We start from the raw sequence: 24445 nt of genomic DNA on the forward strand, positions 1-24445 counted from the left end.
GGATTTGTATTTCTGAGAAAATTCTGTAATATTACCAGATACAAAGGGATTGATGACTGGTAAATGACTTCTGCCCTCTGCACCAGGCTGGAGTAACAACAATCTTAACATTGAGAAAAACCAACTTATTTAATGATAACCTGATTGCCTAAATAAAAGCAGAGAACGCTTACACAGTCCTCACCATATGCCCATGTCCTGCCCTGGTTGCTGGGCATAAATTTACTTGTTTTATCCTCACCCTGATCCTTTGAGGTTGGCGCTATTATTATCTCTGTTTTCCAGGTGAGGAAACTGAGACATGCAGAAGTTAAATAACTTGCCTAAGGTCACACAGCTAGAAAGGGGTGGATGTAAAATTCAAACTGCAGCCTCCTACCTGCAGTGACAACACTTTTCACTTGTTGAGAGATAGCAATCCTATCTCTCAATACACACACACTCTCTCTCATGCACAGAGTCTGTGAAACATTTTAGCCAGTGGTAACAGCATACATCTCTCTGGGACATTTTGTTCCTGTCATTGATTTCATTACTGTATTTTTCCTTCTAACACCCCCTCCAAAATAAAACCCTTCAGTCTAAAGAGAAGTTTTATTTCATTTTATTCTCGGCAAAAGTAGGCTGTTGCTTGACAAGATAAAGTTTACTGCAACAAGATACTATAGCAATAGTGCAGGAATGTTGTAATCCATGCTAAATTGTAAGTAAACAAATTAGGGAGGCAAAGGCTAACTATGATTCGAAGTTTTAGCAAGATCTTTTTAATTTAGTGGGATGAAAATTAAAAGTACTTTTCTCATATTGGGTTCTGTTTCTTAGATAGTCAGGGAATTTCTATTGTCTACACAGTCTTTATTAATCATCTCTTACTATTTTAATATATAGTCTGTTTCATTCTGATTCCCTTTCAGCAAATTTCTTCTGCTCCCTGATGTCGAGAGAAAAAAAGACAATGACAGTTAAGTCTTATCACATATTTATAAGAAGAAAAGCAATTCCTTGAATACGTCCCTGAAATGATAGAACTCCCAGCCAGTTTCTTGCATGGGTGTTTATCTTGAATTACAGAATAACGATAATTGAGGTTTACAATTAAAGACATTACAACTCCCAAAAGAAGACTAATGTATACTTTCTCTCTCAATAACAGATATAAGTTTCCATCTAGTGTTATTTCTTGCTTATCTAGAAAAATTAGTAAGCCAGACACATAATTCTTTTGAGTTTTCATTTGCAACAAGTTACTGTGATTAGCTTTTATGTATTACTTCTTTCTACTGTGTGACAGTTCTATTATATATTCAAGGCAGAATTGCAATAATGCACACCAGCAAATATTTTTTGGTAGGACAAAAATTGGTGGCAAGGTCATAACTTATAGGAAATTGGAACATTGTGTTATCATTAGGTAATATGCAAACGTTATCATCATAAATAATGTTCTTTTGGGGAAAGCATTTTGCCAGTTCCGGCTTCTAAGATGAAATCTGATGCTTTAAAAATCACAGGCATCTGTTTGTATGATCATTAAACAACATGATTGCAGAATGAAATTCTGCAGAACTTCACAACATATATCAATTTTTTGTGAACACTTAAATATTTAAGAAAATATGAAAATTATAATACTAACTTTGCAAACAGATTGCATATGTGAAGCCACTTTGTTCAGTTCAATCAGCAAAGCAATAATAAATTAATAAAAATTTTAGTAATCAATGCCTAAATGTGTTTAAATTTAAATAACCACTTATAATATTTATAATGATCAGTTTCCCTCTTGTATAATAGTATATTTCATTATCCTTAATTTATCTCTTAAACACAGGTGCTGAACTATATGATGCCGACCCATTATCCCTGCCTATTTTTCCATTGTCACTAGTTAACAGGAAAATTAACCAGATGTTGTTGGGAATGTAAAGGCCTAGAGACGTGGCCTTTGGGATTCATTCTGGACTCATTCCTTTCTAGTATACCATGATGACCTTTAAGGGGAAGTAAAGCTAACAATATTTGTAGCTGAAGGGTACTTGATATTCCTTCCAGCCAGCTCTTCTCCCTTGCATACTAATGTGTTTGTTCATCAAAATGATTGTATTAGTCTTCTGAACAATTTCAGCATTACTTGCTAGGGTTGAGAGAGAGAGAGAAGGACAGGATTATTTAGAAAGCAGGCCACATAAGGGACAAAATAAAGAAACATAAGTATCCAAATCGCATCCCCCTGTTTCCCCCCAGGCTGTCGCTTAGCTTTCTGTCCCCACTGCCATTTTCTTTATCATCCAAACTTAAGTCCATCAAGATGGGGACAGGAAAAAAAAAAACTGAAGCCAGATATTACGTATGTGCACTTGCTATTATTTCTATTAATAGGACCTCCTTTGGCATGAAAAAGTTTAATGTCATTGTCATTCTCAGAAACGAGTTTTGAATGTTGGATGAGGGAGCCCTTGGCCCATCTTGCAGGAACAAGGCACATGCTATCATTTCATGAACTGAGCTCTGCTCGCCTGCAAAGGGCCTTGCAATCTCTCACTATTCCTTGAAGAAGGGGGTGGGAGTGGAGAGCAGAAGGAGGAGAAGAAAATAGAGAGCAGGAGGAAGTGAGAAATGGGATCGGGTGTAGGAAAAAAGCTGAGGGGCTGGGCAGGCCTGGATTGGCACCCCAGCTCAGGACAGTGGCCTTTATAAAGTCATCTAACCTCCCTGAGGTTTTGTTTCCTCATCAAATGAGAAAAGCACAATCCATGAAGCAGGATTGAGGGAGGATTAGAAATGAGAATGTTAAGTGCCTGCTCTCTAAATGCACAATAAATAATAACTAGCATTATTGGCTAAACATAAGCTGGTAAATGGGGGAGATTTTAAGATGAGTTTTAGGGAACAATCTTTTCCCCCAAGATAGGGAAACTAAAGTAATAAACAACATCATTTATTGACTAAAATATTTTTGTGTGCTGTCACCTTAATTAAATGACATAAAACAATTGAGTGATTTATAAATATATATAAGCCAGCAACCAACAACTGCTGTTATATTTTTTCTTTCTGAAATAAGAAATGAAGCTCTATCAATCTATTAAAGAAGTAATTTCTAGAACATGTATACCACTCAATGAAAAAGAATCTTTTTATTTGTTTTGAACTCTGTATTTATGTCCCTGTTATTTATTTTCTTGTAATCCCTTAGAAGAATTTATGTAATTAATCTAATAACATATGAGAATCAAAGGATACTACAATGTATATCACATTCCAATTTCTGTATGAACTAAGTTTTCACACCTTGTTCTTCCCCTTCAAAATCCGAAATTTAGCAACTACGTATTTCTATTCAAACATATTTAATATTAAATATCTTATCTTTCAATATCAATATGCTTTATATCAGAGAGATTTACGAGCCATCTCAAGACCAAACAAGATATAAATATCTTTATGTGCAACTACTTAGTAATTTTATAATTGTGTTAGACTTTCATTGAGTGTCTAAGATAAAAGCAATGCAACCCTTACTTTAAAAAATGTGTAATTTAACTCTTTAGGATAAATTATTCAGTGTGAAATTGTTTTACAAAGTGTCTGTAACTTTCACCATGCTAATCAAATTCCTAGTTATTCTCTCTCTGTAGCTACACAGGAGGTGGCTCTGCCTATATTTAGAAGCAACTCTTGTTCCCAGACATCTGGTATATAATTTACAGGGAGAGAGCCTGCCCTGTTTTGTAAACACCACATTGCTAGAGAAAAACACTCACATTTTTATATCTATGCGATTTTGTAAGGTTTGATACCATACCTAAATCACCATCTCCCCACGGCACTTCACACCAGCCACTGTCGAGGTAAATCCGACTCATAATTTTTTTTTTTTTTTATCAGCAAGAAAAGAAAAAATCACTTGTCATTTGCCAGTTCTGTTCGGCCATTTTAAGGAGCTCCAAGCTCCTTGTAATATGACCGTCGGCCTCCAAAAAGAAAAACAGCTTTTGAAAAGGTGATTTATTTCCAAAATTGCTTTTTCTTATTGATCACTCCTCTTTATTTGAGAAACTGCTGGTCCTAACTTATTTTTTTCTCCTTACAGTATGTGCCCTGAATTGAAATAAAAGCACTACAATTAGACCTCTGTCCATGGCCATGGAAAAACCATATTATTGTTATAAATGTCTTTGTGGCCGGGGGTGGGTGGCTTATGCCTGTAACCCCAGCTGCTCTGGAGGCTGAGGCTGAAGGATCATTTGAGCCCAGGAGTTTGAGATCAGCCTGGGCAACATAGTGAGAACTTGTCTCTGCAAAAAAAAAAAAAAAAAAATGTAAATTAAAAAAAATTATCTGGGCATGGTGGCATGCCCCTGTAAATGCCAGCTACTAGGGAAGTCCTGAGATGAGAAGATCGCTAGAGCCCGAGTTTGAGGCTGCAGTGAGCTGTGTTCCCAATACTGCACTCCAGCTTGGGCAACAGAGTGAGACTCTGTCTCAAAACAAAACAAAACAAATAAACAAAAAAGTCTTTACCTGCTCCCAATCTTAGAACATCCCATCAGCAGAAGCAGGATGTGGACTCAATAGAGAGCTAGCTTAGCAATGGTGCAGAGTTTAGCCACACCTGCTCTTCCTCAGTGTTCTCAAAATAGGAAAATTAGGGAATTAATTATAAGGAGAGGGAATAAGCAATGACATTTCATATAACATGTTCATTTCAGTAAAAAATGGCAATACCTTTTTCAGATCTCTTACCTATTTTATATATATATATATATACTTTTTTTTTTTGAGTTGGAGTTTTGCTCTTGTCACCCAGGCTGTAGTGCAATGGTGCGATCTCGGCTCACTGCAACCTCCACCTCCCAGGTTCCAGTGATTCCCCTGCCTCAGCCACCCAAGTAGCTAGGATTACAGACATGTGCCAACACACCCATCTGATTTTTGTATTTTTAGTAAAGATGGGGGTTTCACCATGTTAGTCAGGCTGGTCTCCAACTCCTGACCTCAGATGATCCACCCGCCTCGGCCTCCCAAAGTGCTGGAATAGATGTGAGCCACCGAGCCTGGCCCCTGTAAAATATTAAACCAACAATCGTCTTCACAATGGAGGTGGATTTACCATGAAGCCAGTGAAACCCTTAACCTGCACAGACTCCCCTTCTAAGACTCTGTCCCTAATTTCATGTTACTTTTCTTAAAGGAGCCCCCAAAGTGTATACAGTATAAGCTTCAGACTTGACAACATGTAGCCCATCTCTACTCACAAGTTTATAAGCAAATTAAAAATCACCAGGCATTTACTAGCCTTTATTGTATACTTTCAGACAACCACAGAGCCACAGAAATCCTTGAAACATGGTTTCAAGGGAAATAATGTCTGGCATCTCAATGCATTTCTAAAAGCCAACATCTTTCTCTTAAGACTAGCTATTCCTTTTTCACTTCTCTATTGGTTTAAACAGTGTTACCATTTCCCTCCATCACCTGGTAATAATCATATGGTCTCAAATTTAAGCACAATAATTTTCAAGCTATCAGCTATCTCAATTAACTATTACTGATCACTGGTGCCATGGATAGAGCATGCTGGATTTAACTATAAGATAGACCTGAGTTCAAATTCCAGCATAGATATTTACTAGTTATGTGACCTTTGGCAGTTAACATCTTGAAACCCAGTTTTCTCAACTGTAAAAACAAGGATGAGTCTACCTGCCTCACTGAATTGTAATGAATGTAAAGTACTTAGCACAGTACTAAATGCATTTGAAACATCACAAATACAACCCAAATTTCATTTTAAACAATTACTTTCATATATCTTCCCCATCAGCTTTTAACTACATCTTCTAAACAGAAGGAAGGATAACTTATTTAAGATAAAGATGCTTTATCTCATCTTATTCCTCTTGGCTATATATCTGTAGGAGACAAAAATAGATATTGTCAAAATTTAGTAACAATTATTACATGCATATGGATTACTCTAATCTACATAGCTCCCACGCTGATCTCTCCCACAAATTTCAGCGCCACATGTTAAAATTTACTTCTGGGGATTCACCTAGATATTTTCCTGGCATCTCAATCCATTTCTAAAAGCCAGCATCTTTCTCTTAAGATTAGCTAGTCTTTTTTCATTTCTCTATTGGTTTAAACAGTGTTACCATTTCCCTCCATCACCTGGTAATGATAATATGGTCTCAAATTTAACCGCAATAATTGTCAAGGAAACTTTATATATTGAGTGTTTCGTGTGCTTCTTTGAAAGGAGTCAGTTGTTTTTGGCCCAGTGTTTTTTTCCATTGTTGCGGTAGTTTCTTTTCCCACCTTGAGTCCTCATCATCCAAGCTCAGTCTTTGCATCTATCTACATTAACTCTTGAGGAGCTCCCTTCTAGTGCCATGAACATAAATATTATCCACATATTGATTACCCCAATTTTAGGTTTGGCTGTTCAACTTCTCCACTTGAATATCTAAATAGGTAATACAACTTAACATGTCCCAAACCGAACCCTTGATTCCTTACTCCTAACTTCTCCCGATCCGCAAATGGCAACTGCACTCATCCAGGTGCTTCAAGGCCAAAACCCTCTGCATAATCCTTAGTTTCTGTTTCTCACACCCACCAGGCGCACACCAGGAAGTCATTTTGCCTCTATCATTTAAATGTATCCAAACTTTGTATCTCAGCCTCCACCACTATACCCTAGTCCAAGCCACCATTATTCTCATCTGATGTATTGCAAAAGTCTCCTAACTAGTCAGTGTGTTTCTGCCCATGCCCTTCCAGTAGTCTGTACTAAACATGGGAGCCAAAGCAATCCTTTGGAAGTTAGAAAGAATCCCATGGCTTCCCTTCACACCTGGAATAAAATCCGAAGTCTTTGTCATGACCTATGAACTCTCCAGGCTCTGATCTCGGGTTCTACCCACTTTTTCCTAGGCCCATCATCCTCATCCAGACATACTGGCCTCCTTGCTTTTCCTTACACAACCTTCTGTTTGCTCTTTCTGAAGTACTCCTTTCTGAGACCCACATCACTTGTTCTCTGACTTTAGTGCTCTCTGAAATATCACCTTATCAGAGAGGCCTTCTTGACAACCTTCTATTAAAAAATCCTCCCTGTCCCTTCCCCAACATTCATGCTTTGTCTCCTTTCCCTGCTCTACTTTTCTTCTCAGCACTTATTACTAGAATGCTAGACCTTAGAAAGCGAGACTCAGTTGATTTCATTCATTACCATATCCTCAATACCTAGCACATCAGTGAATGTTTGTTGCATGAATGAGTGCTCAAAGTCACATGATCACACCCAGCTTCATTAGAACCTTGTCTGAGCAGCCGTATGGAGCTTTGTAATGGGGTTAAAATCAAGGGCTGTGAAAGGAGGCATATCCGAATTGGACTCCTGACTCTATCACATATTGGCTCACTCTGTTTTTTACACTGCTAAGTTTCAGTTTCCTCACTATAAAATGGGGGCAATCATACTTACATATTCTAGTTGTTCTAAGGGTTACATGGACATGAGAAGTGTCTAACACAAAGTGTGTTCTTAAGAAAGTCAATGTTATGATTTCCATTGCATTAGGACTTAGGGGAATTAAATAACTTGCCTCAAGTTATAAACAATAACTGACAAAGCCAGGAAGCAAACTCCGTTCTTTTGAATGTCCAGTTGAAATTTTAGGGTACAATATTCTTTTCAACCCTAGAACTCATAGGGCACTTGGTGGACTGTTATTCCATAATGAGTCCATAATAAATGTAACTAACAGACTAGACAAATGAAGAGTTACTTCAATAAAAGGAAGAATTGTGGAATTGTGTTTTCTACATTTTCATATAATAATAGTATATTTGAAATAGTAGCAAAACACAGCAATACAGTACTATTAACTATAATACCTTATTGATTATAAAAGTTGTACATTAAATAAGTGAAATTTGACATACACAAGAAATCATAGTGCTTATTTCTAAGTACAACCATTATAAACATTTTAGGGTGTATCTTTCCAACTTTTTTCTAGAAACACACATTTTTTAATCAAGATACAATCATAGTGTTTGTAAGGTTTTTAACTGATTTGTTTTCATTTAAGATATCTCATGGTCATTGTTCTATGTGAAAAAATATAGTTCTACCACAAGTGATTATGATATATTGATATGTATTTAATCATATAGCTAGAGCATTATGTGTGTATTTATTTATTTAATTATCTATCAAATGATGTTTAGGTGGCTTTTAGTTTTGGGAAATCAAATATTATTACTTATCTTTGTGAATAATTATCTGCTTAGGGTAAATTCCTAAAATTTTGACACATACCATCAAATTACCTCCAGCAAGACTGATCCTATTTACATTCTCATTAACAGCACTGGGAAAATGTAAAGCTAAATCTAGTGAAAGTTTGCTAAGACTTGTCTTTTTTTTTTTTATTTTAAATCATAGCATGGGGGCATTTTTTTTATTATATATTTTTTCTTCTCCTTTTTTTCAGAGACAGAATCTTGCTCTGTCATCCAGACTGGAGGGCAGTGATGTTCTGAACATCGCTCACTGCAGCCTTCAAATCAGGCTCAAGCAATCCTCCTGCCTCAGCCTTCTGAGTCACTGGAATAACAGGTATGTGCCACTGGGCCTGGCTCTATATTTTCAGTATATTTAAGGCATGTCGAAAAAAAATTGTATAGAAAATTAGATTTTTGACATAAAACGATAGCTTATTTTCAACTTCCTTTAGAGTCTCTATCTGCATTGAAGATATGTGAGACTCATCCAGGTGAATTAGTTTACTTAATTTTTTTTTTTTAATTTTTGCCATTGACACAGTTCTATTATGTTGCTAATGCCTGCGGTTTAGTGCATAGTTAGGTAACTTACCCTTCATTTAAGAAATGACAGGATTGTCTTTATTTCTTTAATAATTGCATTCCTTCTGGACTTTAAGGACCATGAAATGATGAGACTACTTATTGCTGCTCCCCGCCTCTAGCACAGTGTCTAGCACGCAGTCAACACTGGATAGGCATTTGTTGAATTGTTGAATTGTCTTCTTTGTAGTCAACCACTTTTTTCCTTGCTGGTATATTTCTCAATTTTGTTGTTAATTATGTTGTTGAAAAGTAACAAAAAGGAAATGTGTATTGGGGTGGGGAGTAGGGATCCAGTTGCTTTCTCAAACTTTGAAAGAAATTATAGTGTTTTAGCCTATTTGAAAATATGCTTTGTATGTTTGAAAAACATAATCATTTATAATAACATTCTTCAAGCTCCAGCTATTACATAGTAAATATAACTCTTACAATCTTGGGGGGCAAGAGTCATTTTCTCTCTGAATCTGCATTTTCGACCCTTAAATTTATCATCTATCATACTGGTGTTCTACTAAAACTTATGCAAATGTATGGATATTCCTTTTTAAAAATAATTCCTCCTCTTTGGTACTGTGCTCATTCTCCTTTCTATCTTTCATAGTTTTCTATCATTATAATTAATGACTTCGTGTCAGAACACTTTTAGGAAGTTGCTCTACTCATTTTCTTGCCTAAATCATCCTCCTACTTGATGTCTAATTTACATGATTTAAAATTTCCATATTGCCTGTAAACAGTCTTTTCCTGCTTAATAGCATCTTTCCTTGTTTCCATACCAACTTAGAAACACCTGCTGAAACAGAAAGGTAAACAAACCAGAGTCTAAGAGTTTGCAGTCATGTTTAATATACAGTCACAAAAATGAGTCAGCCGATGCAGTTTCCATACACGAAAAGGCAAGAATACAGAGCAGTCCTTTGCCATGCCATACATGTGCATTTCAATCCGCATTCTGGAAAGCACCCGCAGTTTAAAGTTAGTATTTGCAAAAACAGGCCAATGTGGTTTATTTCAGGACACTGACAGATTTGAAATGGCTGCTATACTAACCTTGACTGGTCAGAATACCCCAGCTAGCTTTTCGTTTAGAAGAACATTCCTCTATACTCACTAGCCTTCTTTTCGTGAGGACCTGCTTAATGCAGTTCATTTCAACAGCAATATCTGCGGACATAGTTTGGTTGACGTTTTTTGTCTGTGACAACCAGGTGTCATAAGTGCAAATGCTCTAGCAAGAAGAAATATCAGCGTCTGGATTTCTAACTATTTTTTCCTTCCCTTCAGACTTTCACAAAGGTTCCTGTGTGCTAACTTGAGATGTCTTCAACATTGAACTCTATTCAGAAACACTTGGATCAGGGCTGGTAGGTGCAATGTGGAGGATGGGCCAGAAATGCTGGAGCATTTTCTATTTTTAAAGCAGAGACATGCTGCAGCCGGAAGTCTTTAACTATTTGTGTGATATAGAAAGTAAAAAGTGGGTATAATTGCTTTTCCTAGTCGAAACAGAATAGAAATGAGCTCTATCGTTAAAAGATAAAAGCCTATTTAAAGAACCTACAAATCAATCAAATGTAAAATTGCCTGTTGATAATGACTGCAGACAGAATATTGCAGCCAGAAAGCTCAGTAGTGATCAGTGACTAGGTTAGCCTTTCTCCTTCATCCTCAGGAGTAAGTATGAGATGTGCCTTAGGGCTGGGCGTGGTGGCTCACGCCTGTAATCCCAGCACCTTGGGAGGCCGAGGCAGGCAGATCACCTGAGGTCAGGGGTTAGAGACCAGCCTGGCCAACGTGGTGAAACCCCGTCTTTACTAAAAATACAAAAATTAGCTGGACATAGGGACGGGGCGCCTGTAGTCCCAGCTACTCAGAAGGCTGAGGCGGGAGAATCACTTGAACCCGGGAGGCAGAGATTGTACCACTGCACTCCAGCCTGGGCGACAGAAGGAGACTCCGTCTCAAAAAAAAAAAAAAAAAAAAAGTGCATTACGGTCAGCTGGTAGCCAGCTCATGTTTTCATTTTGCAAGGATCTAAGTTTAGAATTGGCTTCAATACAAAATCACAGTCCTCTTATTTATATAGGCACAGCTCACTATTGTGATTTTTCTAGAGGTCATCTCTAAATCAAAAGACGTCAGCAGTCAATTTAAGTACAGCTGAGATTTTTCACCCTAAAAGGCAGAGGAAAGGGTAGTTGGCAGGATGAGAGGAAAAACCAAACATGTGCCTGGTATTTTTTACTGGCCTATAAAGTTGAAAAAGGCACAGAGTCTATGATGGAATCAAGAGCAGCGACCGAACTATGATAGGACTCCAAGGATTAACTGAGCTGGTGATCACGTTACAGAGTATTAACATACTGAAATCTGTCTTGCTGAAATATGGTGACAGATTCTGTTATCTATCTTTTTTTCATCAGTATTTTTAAGGCTCTACCTTCTGCTAGTATATAAAAGGAAAAAAGTATTACTGGGGTTATTGTCTTCATGTAACAAGCCAAGTAAGAGAAAAAAAAATTATGACTATAATTCTGTCCTATGCACTACCCTATGGACATTTGCTGCCATATTACACTGCCAGTGTTTACCTCAAGTTATCGCTAATGAATACCACACATATCTTTTCCTTATCTTCAATTAAGTTCTAATCCTACCAGCTGTTTGTGTGACCTGGAGCGAGTAGCTTAATGACACCATAGTTTCCTTCTCTATAAAATGAGGAGCTTGGATAAGACCAGATTCTATGACTAACACACAAAAGGTAAGAGAGTGCGTGAGCTGTAGACATATTATATTACCACAGAAGAGGCTAGATATTCCCAATGAAACTGAAACTCAGAGCCAGCTTGGCCCAGGCTATTTGTATGGGTGGCACATTCCTAGGTGAAGTTAGAAAAGACTGAAGGGGCCTATTCAGTCCAGCATATTTACATGAAGCAATTGTCATTCACCACTGGCTCTTTGTCGCCTGGTTTGTACTTATAAGGGGAGTACGGTAATCTACACAAACCATACAGTAAAAGTAAATTTTAATTTTTGTTTAAAATTAAATTAATTAAAAGAAATTTCAATTTGAAGCTTATACTTATTATTCTGTAACAACAAAAGCTTTATGCTTTTGAATAATGCATATTCCTACAGAATGCATAATAATGCATAATAATATTCCTACAGAATAAATGTAGGAAGTTTTATCATAAGTATTGTGACAATTTTTGTTTTATCATAAGTACTGTGACAATTTTTGTTCTGAAAACAATTTTAGACACCGTATATTATAATGATCTATTTCTCTGTGTCTCCCCCACTTAGTTGTGCACTCTGATCACAGAGACTGAGTCTATACAGCTGTTATTGCACAGGTCTAAGTACTGGACCTCTTAAGCCGTGGGCACTAAAAGAGTTGTTAAAGAGTAATTTGAATATGGAATTTTCTAGAATGCTTTAAGAAGGCTTTCTGTAGTCCTCGATGGTAGTAAACAAATTTCCAGGGCAGTGGGGAAAAAAGAAGCCATTGGATTTGAGTATAACTCACACTTACTGAACTGGGAGATGTGCTGCACTGAAGGTGGACTAAGGAGAACCTATCAATACTTAATTCTTTTAAAAATTAAAAATGGATCAAAAGCAAAAGTAATTTTTAAAAATGACTCCATGGAATTGGAGGAAAATGATATGGTTAATTCACTAGAAAATAACAAAGAACAGAAGAGTGAATAGATTGAGTGTGCTCAGTGTACGTTCTGTGTGCTCAGCTGTATGGATTCATAAAAAGAAATGCACAGTGAGTGAACGCGTTAGGGACAGAATTGTTTAAATGCTAGATATCTGTGATTGTACCTGTAAGAGAGCACTGTGAAATCTCGAGATATCTAGAAGAACATTAAGCCATATGAGTGGACAGAAGTTTTAAAGAGAGCCAGTATCAGATAAAACACTAGGAAACTAATAAAAATTGTAATCTATAGAAGATAATGGACTCTGAATTATTATGGCTCAGAAAAAGCATCTAAGATATACCATAGATGAATGATGGTCTAACGTTACTACCGACAGGGACTAAAATAAAATGTTAAACCTTATAGGATATGAAACAAAGGCAATTCTATCTCCAGGAACTATTGTATTTCCATTTTAACCAGTGCTAATGTCCCTGAAAACATGGGGACCTGTGTCTGGTTTGGTCACTAATCCTCAGTGGGAAAGTGATGTTAAAGCTGGAAAGTTTCAAAGAAGGGCACTGGAAACCATCAAAGACATGAAGACACTTCTGCAGCAGGGAAATCTTAATACTTATAGATGTTTCAAACTGGAAGGTTGAAATCGAAGAGGCATTATGACAGAAAGCTACATAATTATGAAAGGCATAGTTAAGAGTGAGTAAACGTTTTCAAGAAATTCTGAAAAACAAGAAAGCAAGATCACCTTCTGACAATTTTTAAAGCTAAAAACTTGGGGACACAAATTTAGCTTTTTTGGCTTACACAACCAATTACAAACTTAAAGAGCTCACTGCTTCCAAGAAGTGGTATTTAGATAAATTAACAAATGAGTGATCCACAGATATGGATTTTTGAGGGTATATTCCTGAGTTTGGGGACTTAAAAGTAATTGTTCCTCCATTGTCAGAAAAAGAACATCAGGATAAATATATTCCTACTTGGATCTGGGTTGGCAGTTTTCCCCATTTTTTACTACAAAAATTTCAAACATATATGCGCGTCCATGCACAGTGTCAACAATTATCAACTTACGGTTAGTCTTGTTTCAACTATAACTCACCCACTTTCCCACAAAAACTCCTAGGATTATTTTGAAGCCAATCTCAGTATATAATTTCATCCATAAATATTTTAGTATTATCTCCAAACGATGAGTATTCTTTATAATTATAACCGCAATATCATAATCGCAAAAACAGCAATACTATAATATTAACAAACACAGGTTGATAATTTTTATTTTCTGAAAAGCAACTCAGTTCACAAACTGCCTTCAATAATGATACTTAAGTTGATATAACTTTTAAGTCCTTTATCTCAGGACAAAAGTCTGTGATAATCTTTTTATTTCTGAACGTCATTTTAAAAGTGTAAGTTTCCCATCCTTAGAAAAAAAATGAATGTTTACTCCAAAATTACTATTAAGGGCTCACTAAGTAAAAAAATAAAACCTCCTTAAATCATCACAGAGAAATCCTAAGGTTTTCTTTTACCTGTTACTGCCAAATTTCCACCATTGCAAAGAGGCATCTGGAAGGGGCCATTATTCAGTTCTCAGAGGCTGTGCTGCTTTGGGTTTCTTTACAAGGCCGTGCCCTCATACAACCTTTAGGAGTCATATCTGAGCCCAGTTCTTGCTCCATTTTATTTTTTATTCTACTTTACTTAAACATGAGTACCTAAATCTGTTGGCCTAGTGATAGTGAGTGAGGGCAGATGAGGTCTGAGAGTAAGCCTGACATAAGCATCTTGGAAAAAAAATTGAGCAGTTGTTATCCAACAGTTAACCTTTGTTCCAAAGGTCATTCATTTATTGTATAAAGGTTGCTGGGAAACTACAGATGTCAATCTTGTGGTGAGTGATATCTCCTCTCCTATAGGAGAGAATGGAGTGGTGATCTGGAAGCTATGGGGAAAAAAATCATGAACGTGTCTGTCTATCACCATCTTTGTCCTCAATGACGTAGATGACCTAAGGAGAAAAGGGTGGCCTTCACCACAAAACTGCACATACACCTGGGACGCGGAAGGGTCAAAGGGGAAGATCCGGTGACAGGAGGACAAGCTTTACCTCCGCATGTTGCTAAATGACCAGTGACGTGTGCAAACACCCACGGCACCTGGTACCCTACAGCAAAATTCAGAATCCCAGCTGCAGCTTCCTCACACTGCCATCCAACTCTTACATTATCTTTTCTTCCAATCTCACTTGGAACAACACAAAAAAGGGAAACAGATCCAACATAACCAAGCTGACACAACACGGAGCCACCACAGATGACAAGGTTACTTATGCTTGACTTCATGACAGGAGTTTGGGACTAGTCTCTTGTTTTCTCTATTATTGTGGTTCACATACTAGAAATATTTCCACCTGTAATGCTTGGTAGAAGTCACTAGTAAAATTATCTGCTCTTGGAGTTCTTCTGAGGAATTTTAAAAACTACTTATACATATACATATTTGAATTTACAACTATTTAAGTTCTCTCTTCTAAACTCAGCTTAGATCAGTTGTGTTATTTAGAAAATTGTCCATTTTGTCTTAATATTCAAAATTATTGGCATTATGTTGTTATATAATAACCACTTATGGTAAAAATGTCAGCGGTATCTGCTATTATAGTCTCTTCCTCAATCCAGCTGTTGTTTATTTGCACCTCTGTAACAACGACAAGTTTGGACAGAGGTTGTCTGTCCAAAGAACCAGCTTTTGGCTTTGTTGATTCTTCCTGTCTTCATTTTTCACTTTATTAATTTCTGCTTGCAGCTTTCTTATTTTCTTCATCAATTTGTGGAAAGTGAGTGTTTTATTCTTTACATAATTTTGATTTCTTGACCTATGAGTTACTTTAAAATATTTTTTCTTAACTTCCAAATAATTTTTTTTCTAATTACATTTTGTTAATGATTTCTACATTAAAATTACTGAGGCCAGTTATATGTTCCCTATCAGAGGTCAGCCAACTATGGCTCATAGGCCAAATTTAGCCTATCATCTGTTTTTGTAAATAAAGTTTTATTGTAACAGAACTAAACTCAATTGTTTATATATTATCTATATTTTCTTTTACATAACATCAAAGTTGAAACTGTACGCAACTAGTCCCACAAAGTTGACCCAGGAGACTAAAATATTTACTCTTTAATCTTTTACAGGAAAAGTGTGCCAACCTCTGGACTTTATAATATTAGTCATTTAAAATTTACTGAGACATACTTTACAGTCCTGTGTATACTTAACTCTTATAAATGTTCAAAGTGTCCATGAAAAGAATGTGGATGTGAAGTTCCATATATCAATTAGGTCTATCTTTTTAAATTCTTCTACATGTTTATATAATGAAGATGTCTGTCTGCATAACCAATCAATTACTAAGATAATTTGATTAAAATTTTTCTCCTTAAAAATTAGGTAAATTTTTGAATTTTATACTGTAAAGCAATTTTATTATGTGAATAAGAATTATTACAGCTTTTTAGTAAATTCAACCTCTTATTATATAGTGGCATCTAGTAGGTTTTTTCCTTTATTTTTATTTTTTATTTTTTTGGAGACAGGTCTTACTCTGTTGCCCAGGCTGGAGTGCGATGGCACAATCTCGGCTCACCGCAACCTCCGTCTCCCAGGTTCAAATGATCCTCCCACCTCAGCCTCCTGAGTAGCTGGTATTACAGGCATGCGCCACTATGCCTGGCTAATTTTTTGTATTTTTGGTAGAAACGGGGTTTCACCATGTTGCCCAGGCTGGTCTCGAACCGCTGAGCTCAAGCAATCTGCCTGCCTTGGCCTCCCAAAATGCTGGTATTACAGGCATGAGCCACTACGCAGGCAATTTTTTCCCTTAAAGTCTTATTTTTCTCATATTAATATAGCAACAGCGCTTTAAGTTAGTATTTCCCTTGGGCACATCTTTCTTGATCCTTTTATTTTCAACCTTTCTGAATCCTTATGTTTTAGACAGGACATTTCTAAAAATATATTGCTGGATATTACAAAAATTCAATCTGAACATTGTAATCTTTTAACTGGAAAAACCATTCAATTTATAGCTATTTAATCACCGATGTATTTGGATTTATTTTTCCCACATTAGTTTGGTGCTTTGTATTTGACTCACCATTTCTATGTTTCTTTGCTCACTTTCTTTTGTTCTTTTAAATTTTTTTATAATCCCATATTTCTCGCTTCTACTCTGAATGGTATATATTATATTTATGATTTTTAAAACACTGTGCCTAAAATTTTATTCAGACTCAAGCATTAAGGAGAGCTAGAATAAAATTATAGCCATAATCTTGTCTACAGAAGTGACATCTTTCAAGTATAAGTTTGGGGTGATACATGCTTCATACACCAAAGCACAAATTCATTGATGTACAGGGCATACCACATAAACCACATTTACATCCACAGCTACATACACCTATAGCACTTAATAAAAATACTGCTGTTTTTAATAGGCCAATTACTACTTCAATTGCTATGTATGATTTAAATCTGGAACAGCTGTTTAAAAACACGATCTCACATCTAGTACAGGGAGGCACTGACTCTTCCTCTAACAGTGGCTATCTCTTTGATAAATCTCAATTTTATCCTACGACCAAGTGAAAATAGCCAAACTGTAAACAGTCACTTGAGTTAAGATGACCCAGGGGTTGGGCCTGGTGGTTCACACCTATAATCCTAACACTTTTGAAGACCGAGGAGGTGGGAGAATTGCTTGGGGCCAGTAGTTTGAGATCAGCCTGGGCAACATAGCAAGACCCCCATCTCTACAAAAAAATAATTTAAAAATTAGCTGGGCATGGTGACATGTGCCTATAACACCAGATACTCAGGATGTCGGGGCTTATCCTGAGTAGCTGGGACTACAGGCACACTACAGGTTCAAGTGGGGAGGATCACTTGAGCCCAGGAGTTCAAGGCTGCAGTGAGCTATGATTGCACCACTGTGCTCTCACCTGGGCAACAGAGATCCTATCTCAACAACAACAGCAACAATAACAAAAAAGATGACCCAGGCCTCACCTCAGTCACCACCCTCTTTATAAGCTGTCCCCTAAAGCCAGCTCTTCAGGAGTTCCCAGATAAACTTAATTATTCATTACCAGGAAGTGATGAGATACGTTATGAAGCTATGCAAACATAATGAAACACAAAGAAATCCCCCATATTGACAAAGGGCTAATATCCAGAATCTACAAAGAACTTAAATAAATTTATGAGAAAAAATCAAACAACCCCATCAAAAAGTGGGGAGAGGATATGAACAGACACTTTTCAAAAGAAGACATTTATGCAGCCAACAGACACATGAAAAAATGCTCATCATCACTGGTCATCAGAGAAATGCAAGTCAAAACCACAATGAGGTATCATCTCACACCAGTTAGAATGGCGATCATTAAAAAGTCAGGAAACAACAGGTGCTGGAGAGGATGTGGAGAAATAGGAATGCTTTTACACTGTTGGTGGGAGTATAAACTAGTTCAACCATTGTGGAAGACAGTGTGGCGATTCCTCAAGGATCTAGAACTAGATATACCATTTGACGCAGCCATCTCATTACTGGGTATATACCCAAAGGATTACAAATCATGCTACTATAAAGACACATGCACACGTATGTTTATTGTGGCACTATTCACAATAGCAAAGACTTGGAACCAACCCAAATGTCCATCAATGACAGACTGGATTAAGAAAATGTGGCACATATACACCATGGAATACTATGCGGCCATAAAAAAGGATGAGTTCATGTCCTTTGCAGCGACATGGATGAAGCTGGAAACCATCATTCTGAGCAAACTATCGCAAGGACAGAAAAACCAAACACCGCATATTCTTATTCTTCGGTGGGAATTGAACAATGAGAACACTTGAATACAGGGTGAGGAACATCACACACTGGGGCCTGTCGTGGGGTGGGGACTGGGGGAGGGATAACATTAGGAGAAATACCTAATGTAAATGATGAGTTAACGGGTGCAGCAAACCAACATGGCACTTGTATACATATGTAACAAACCTGCACGTTGTGCACATGTACCCTAGAACTTAAAGTATATAAAAAAAAATTACACAGATAAAAAAAAAGAAATCCCCCATATTGATCTTGGTGTAAAATTAGTAATGGTTATTTAACTTAGGCTAATTAGAACTTGCTGTGTTGCTGTTAAAATATCAGAATTGGAAGAAGTGGGGGAAAATGTTTTACTGTATTTAATTTTAACCATAAGGGGAAAGGCTTTTACAGCTACTATAAGACTATTTATGGGTCAAGAGATAATAGGGAAAAAGGAAGAATGATGCTATTCGATGAGATTTTTCTGAGGCAATCTTCTATAAAGTCTTTTTAAAATCTTATCTTAAGAAAAAGAAGAACCTTTCAGACCACCTATCAGATACATGCAGTACATGTATTCAGGATGTAAGGAATGGACTCTGAAAGATAATTTCACTTAAACCAGTATCACAGCACTAGCCATGACCACAGAGTATGAGTGTAGACAGTCCACACCACAGTGCAGTTGCTTATTTAGTGAGTTCAGGTGCTGTGAACTGTTTCTCCAGATATTAAAGCTGAAACATGAACTACACCAATAATGATACGGGGAATGCTTTTTTAAAAATGCATTTGCAGAAGCAAACTCTCCTCAGTATACTGAATGTCTAGATGTGTACACAGCTCAAAGTGAGATACTTCCTTAAGAATGGTAAGGGGTAGCTACAAAAACAAAACAGAAAACCTTCAGAAGACGTGATGGTTAATGACAGAATGTCGAAGGCTTTCCCTCTCAATTGAAAAACAAAAATGAACACTCCCTACCACCAATCTATTCAACATCATACAAGAGGTTTAATCCATAGAATAAAGAAAGAAGAAGAAATAAAAATGGTACAACATTTAGAAAGGAAACAAAACTCTCATTATTCACAAATAATATAACTTTTCACATAAAAAATCCCTATAGAACCCATAGATTCCTATTAGAATTAATAAGAGAGCTTAGAAAAGTTCTTTGGTATGAAATTAATATACAAAAATTAATGTATTTCTCTCTGCCCTTGACAAACAGGTTGAAAATGTAAAAATTTATTAAGATATTATTTATGGTAGCATAAAACAATTTGTTACCTATGAATAAATTCAACAAATATATGTAAGATCTCCCCAGGAGACGATAATAAAACATTATTGGGAGATATTCAATAAAACCTATATAAATGAGAAACTATATTACATTTATGATTGAAAAGCCAAGTATTACAAAGTTGTAGATTCTCCTTCAAATAAATGATTTATAGGTTCAATGAATTCCAACAAAAATGCAACAAGTATTGTGCGAACCACAGAAATTACTTCTAAAATTGATACATAGAATTTCAAATTACCAAGAATAGCCAAAACTATGAAAAAATAGAAGAATGTGGGAGATCTTGTTCTGTCTATGAAGACCTATTCTAAAGCTACAGAAATCAGTTTAGTGTAGTATAGGTCCAGAGCAATGTAATTGATAAGAGCCCATAAGCAGACTCATGCATGAATAAACACTAGACTTACACAAACTGGGCACTGTAGTGACTATAGATTATGAAATATAGAACCCACTTTCCAATACATGGTGTGAATATAATTGACCATGCATTTGGTGAAAAATGGACTTACACCATACAAAAAATTAAATTCAAGTGGATGAATTTCAAAGGAATGCTTTAAGTATATGGAAGAAATACTTCCATTACCTTGAAGTGCCAAAAGATTTTTAAGATGAATTCCACAAAAAGTCTTAATCAAAGTGGAAAGGATTTGTAAATTTGACTATTTTTAAATTAAGAGTTTCTGTTCACCAGTAGAAACACCAATAAAAAGTGAAAAGTCAAGCCACAGAAGATATTTGTAAATAGTTCTTCTAAATGTTTTCATTTTCTTAACAATTTTAGGATACAAAATAACTTCTAAAACTCAATTTTAAAAAGGGGGAAGACAGATGGCCTGATAGAATAGAAGGCAAAATATTTGGCGAGCACATTGCAAAGGAAGAAGTACAAATGGTCAACAAAAATCAAAATGGCATTATTAGTCAGGGAAATGAAAATTAAACCATAATATACTCCCACATGCCCACCATATTGGCAATTTTTTATTTTTTATCTTTTCATTTTTTTGAGATTGAGTCACTCTGTCATGCAGGCTGGAGTGCAGCGGCACGATCATGGCTCACTGCAGCCTCACCCTCCCCAGGCTCTGGTGGGTCTCCCTCCTCAGCCTCTTAAGTAACTGGGTCTACAGGTGCACACTACCATGCCTGGCTAACTTTTGTATTTTTTGTACAGATGGGGTTTTGCCACGTTGCCCAAGCTGGTCTCCTGAGCTCAAGTGATCCACCCACCTCGACCTACCAAAGAGCTAGGATTACAGGTGTGAGCCACTGTACCCAGCCCACATTGGCAAATATTAAGAGTACTGACAATATGTGAATTCTCATAACCTGCTGGGGTTTCACCACAGATACAGCCACATTGGAAAACAGGGCAATACTGTCTTAGAAACTGGAGATACACAGGCCCTATGACCTGGAAATTTCACTTCTAGAGCTATAAAAACTTATTTATACTAGATGTTTATAGAAATATTGTTCATAATTGCCCCAAATTGGTAATGGAATTTACATTATTGAGAATGAATGAACCTAGATATATGTAGGCAATTATATCATACTGTTCATTGTAAAAGTAAATAACAAAAGAATATTTAGAGAATGATTCAATTAATATAGGGTTCAAAAATAGGTTAAACCATATCAATATGAGATGTATGCATAGGAGCTGAAACTAAAGAAAGGCAAGAAAATGATTACTATAAAAACTAGTCACTCGGTCTTGATGGGAGAAGGAGAAGGTATTGTGATTGAAAAGAGATACATGAAGGCTTCTGGGGTTCTATTTCGTGACTTGAATGGTTGTTATACAGGTTTACATTTTGTTTGTTTTGTTTTGCTTTTTTGAGACAGAGTCTTGTTCTGTCGCCCAGGCTAGAGTACAGTGGTGTGATCTTGGCTCCCTGAAACCTCTGCTTCCCGGGTCCCAACGATTCTCCTGCCTCAGCCTACCGAGTAGCTGGGATGACAGGCGTGGGCCACCACACCCGACTAATTTTTGTATTTTTAGTAGAGACAGGGTTTCGCCATCTTGGCCAGGCTGGTCTTGAACTTCTGACTTCAAGTAATCTGCCCGCCGCAGCCTCCCAAAGTGTTGGGATTACAGGCGTGAGCCACCGCATCTGCCCTATACAGTTTTGTGTTTCAAAATCTTGTATTAAACTCTGTAAACAAAGTTCTGACCATTTTTCCCAGTTGCGGCGTATTTTATGATCAAGAAAATACTAATTAACAAAAAGATCCCAGGTAAAAAGATTTTAAAATAGAGGCAGAGGTTAACAGAAAATGCGACACTCCCAATATGAGAAGAGAAGAGTAAACACTTGGCTCTTCTTACCCTGCTGTTCTTTATTCCAACCTGCAGTCTTAGTGGGACTCTCTGCTCTCCCTGATTGGGAGAGCAGATCTGCTGAATGTCTGCTCTACCACTGAGGGTAATAAGAGACTTCAGTTCTTCTCCCATTGGTGCTGAGAAGTAACAGGGCATCCGAGAAGACCTAGGAAATTTCTCCTCATATGAAACTGTGCTTGGTGGAGAGGATGAGAAAACATGGAGTTAGACGAGTGCTCCAGAGGGCTGGGGAAGCAAAATTTCCAACAGCATTCTTTAAGTGACCTTAGGCGATCCTTAAAAGAAAGTGAGTTGGCCGGGCGCGGTGGCTCACGCCTGTAATCCCCGCACTTTGGGAGGCCGAGGCGGGTGGATCACGAGGTCAGGAGATGGAGACCATCCTGGCTAACACAGTGAAACCCCGTCTCTACTAAAAACACAAAAAATTAGCCGGGCGTGGTGACGGGCGCCTGTAGTCCCAGCTACTCGGGAGGCTGAGGCAGGAGAATGACATTAACCCGGGAGGCGGAGCTTGCAGTGAGCCGAGATCACACCACTGCACTCCAGCCTGGGTGACAGAGTGAGACTCCATCTCAAAAAAAAAAAAAAAAAGAAAAAGAAAAAGAAAGTGAGTTAAGTGAAATATCACCTGCAAGGCCACAGGGAGTGTCCTAAAATAATGATGATTACACATTATTTGGTGACTCAGTGCAGCTGTTCTGAGTTCGGTCAAGTACATTTACGTTCTGGAATAGGGTGGCTGAGGTCACGGGCGTGATAAATTCACAAAAGGTAGCTTGGGTTCTTTGTGCTAAAAGTTTCTCTGGCCAGGAAACTGATTCACCAAAAGTCAAAATAAATGTGCATAGCATTATTTAGCATTCAGAGCTAAAAGTGGACGTAGAAATCATTTTCTTTAGCCATTTACAAATGGCTTCAAAGAGCCCGAGGAGTTCAATAAAGTACCTCAGAGTGTGCTGGCAAAGTGTGGGCTGTCTCCCATCAGGGTAGCTTCCACTCTCAGCTTTACAAAATGACCTTCCAGATCACAAAAGAAAGCCCCAATGGCTTTAGAAAAGATTCAAAAACCAGTGATCCCGTCTAACTCCTTCATTTTGCAGATAAAGAAACAGGTCGAGAGAGGGGAGGTGGCATTCTCAAAGCGGCTCATAGGGCTATCAGCAAAACAAGACAGGAACAGAGATTGTCTGCTTCTGACTTGGACTCTTTCCAATGTACTAGATTGCTAGTTAACGCCACGTGCGAACAAATCTAAACTAGTGAATATAAAACAAGGAAGACAGAAACAGATCTCTCATCACCAGCACCTACATCATAAGGTTTTCATAAAGATTAAACGTGTTTATAATGGTACTTGTTTAGAGCAGTTCCTGGCATGTACATAAGAACTGGGCATTTACCATTCTTATAAAATGACACTTTTCTGGTCCTTTCATTCTTTTTACCCACTTTGTCCACACACCGTTTTATCTACCAACTGCCAGCTTGAAATTTTCAAAGGGTCGCAAATCCATACAAGGAATAAAATCAACAATCTGTGTTCTCTAGTCTGAGGACAACAGCTGCCGAGGAGAAAATCTGATCTGCACCATGGACAAGGACTTCATGTAAGAACCATCTTACACATAAACCTTCTCCTCCCCATGGCTCTAGCCACAGATAGTTTTATCACCGCTTAACCATGTGCTCATGGGAGGTTTAGCTTCTGACAGCAGTTGGGACGTTTTATGTTGATACTTTTAATGAAAATCAAACGTATTTGCAGAAGTGTATCTTAAGAGCAGAAAGCAGGCCGGGCGCGGTGGCTCACGCCTGTAATCCCAGCACTTTGGGAGGCCGAGGCGGGCGGATCACGAGGTCAGGAGATCGAGACCATCCCGGCTAAAATGGTGAAACCCCGTCTCTACTAAAAATACAAAAAATTAGCCGGGCGTAGTGGCGGGCGCCTGTAGTCCCAGCTACTTGGGAGGCTGAGGCAGGAGAATGGCGTGAACCCGGGAGGCGGAGCTTGCAGTGAGCCGAGATCCCGCCACTGCACTCCAGCCTGGGCGACACAGTGAGACTCTGTCTCATTAAAAAAAAAAAAAAAAAAAAAAAAAAAATTGTTTGAAGATTGGCTCAGAAAGCTTAAAAGATTAAGAATAAAAATGTATTCAATTAAAAATGGAGAATCAAAAGGTGAACAAGCAGTGTTCTTTACTTAAAGGAAAACGATCTTCGAGTTAATAAGACATGAAAAAATACTTGAATACATTAGCAGCCATTAACTGATTCTAGTTAAAGAGAAACACATAGGACCAGCATGATTGCTC

At 37.4% G+C, this 24445-nt stretch overlaps 1 protein-coding gene across 4 annotated transcripts in view, besides 3 other annotated features; it reads right to left on the reverse strand.

The window, feature by feature from the left end:
* Positions 1-24445, reverse strand: part of ASB5 (ankyrin repeat and SOCS box containing 5) — a 63852-nt gene that overhangs the window by 13685 nt on the left and 25722 nt on the right. The window contains exon 1 of one of the 4 annotated variants that reach the window (XM_011531617.4): positions 14105-14336. The exons of 2 other annotated variants lie outside the window; for them this stretch is intronic. In XM_011531617.4, the coding sequence (XP_011529919.1) occupies positions 14105-14141 (37 nt within the window). In that variant the 5' untranslated portion in view covers positions 14142-14336. Of the gene's footprint in view, positions 1-3805; positions 4322-14104; positions 14337-24445 lie in introns of those variants that run through there. One more of the 4 variants, NM_001410863.1, reaches the window with a different exon arrangement.
* Positions 300-469: an enhancer, noted in NCBI's record as "experimental_76286 CRE fragment used in MPRA reporter constructs". NCBI's record gives its function as "activates a minimal promoter by MPRAs in K562 erythroleukemia cells, with activity observed for both the introgressed and non-introgressed 4:177148893 variant alleles {active_cell/tissue: K562}" and the evidence as "EXISTENCE:reporter gene assay evidence [ECO:0000049][PMID:34662402]".
* Positions 6697-6866: an enhancer, noted in NCBI's record as "experimental_76293 CRE fragment used in MPRA reporter constructs". NCBI's record gives its function as "activates a minimal promoter by MPRAs in K562 erythroleukemia cells, with activity observed for both the introgressed and non-introgressed 4:177155290 variant alleles {active_cell/tissue: K562}" and the evidence as "EXISTENCE:reporter gene assay evidence [ECO:0000049][PMID:34662402]".
* Positions 13255-13424: an enhancer, noted in NCBI's record as "experimental_76294 CRE fragment used in MPRA reporter constructs". NCBI's record gives its function as "activates a minimal promoter by MPRAs in K562 erythroleukemia cells, with activity observed for both the introgressed and non-introgressed 4:177161848 variant alleles {active_cell/tissue: K562}" and the evidence as "EXISTENCE:reporter gene assay evidence [ECO:0000049][PMID:34662402]".

The sequence above is a fragment of the Homo sapiens genome, chromosome 4, assembly GCF_000001405.40.
Source record: "Homo sapiens chromosome 4, GRCh38.p14 Primary Assembly".
Classification (NCBI taxonomy): domain Eukaryota; kingdom Metazoa; phylum Chordata; class Mammalia; order Primates; family Hominidae; genus Homo; species Homo sapiens.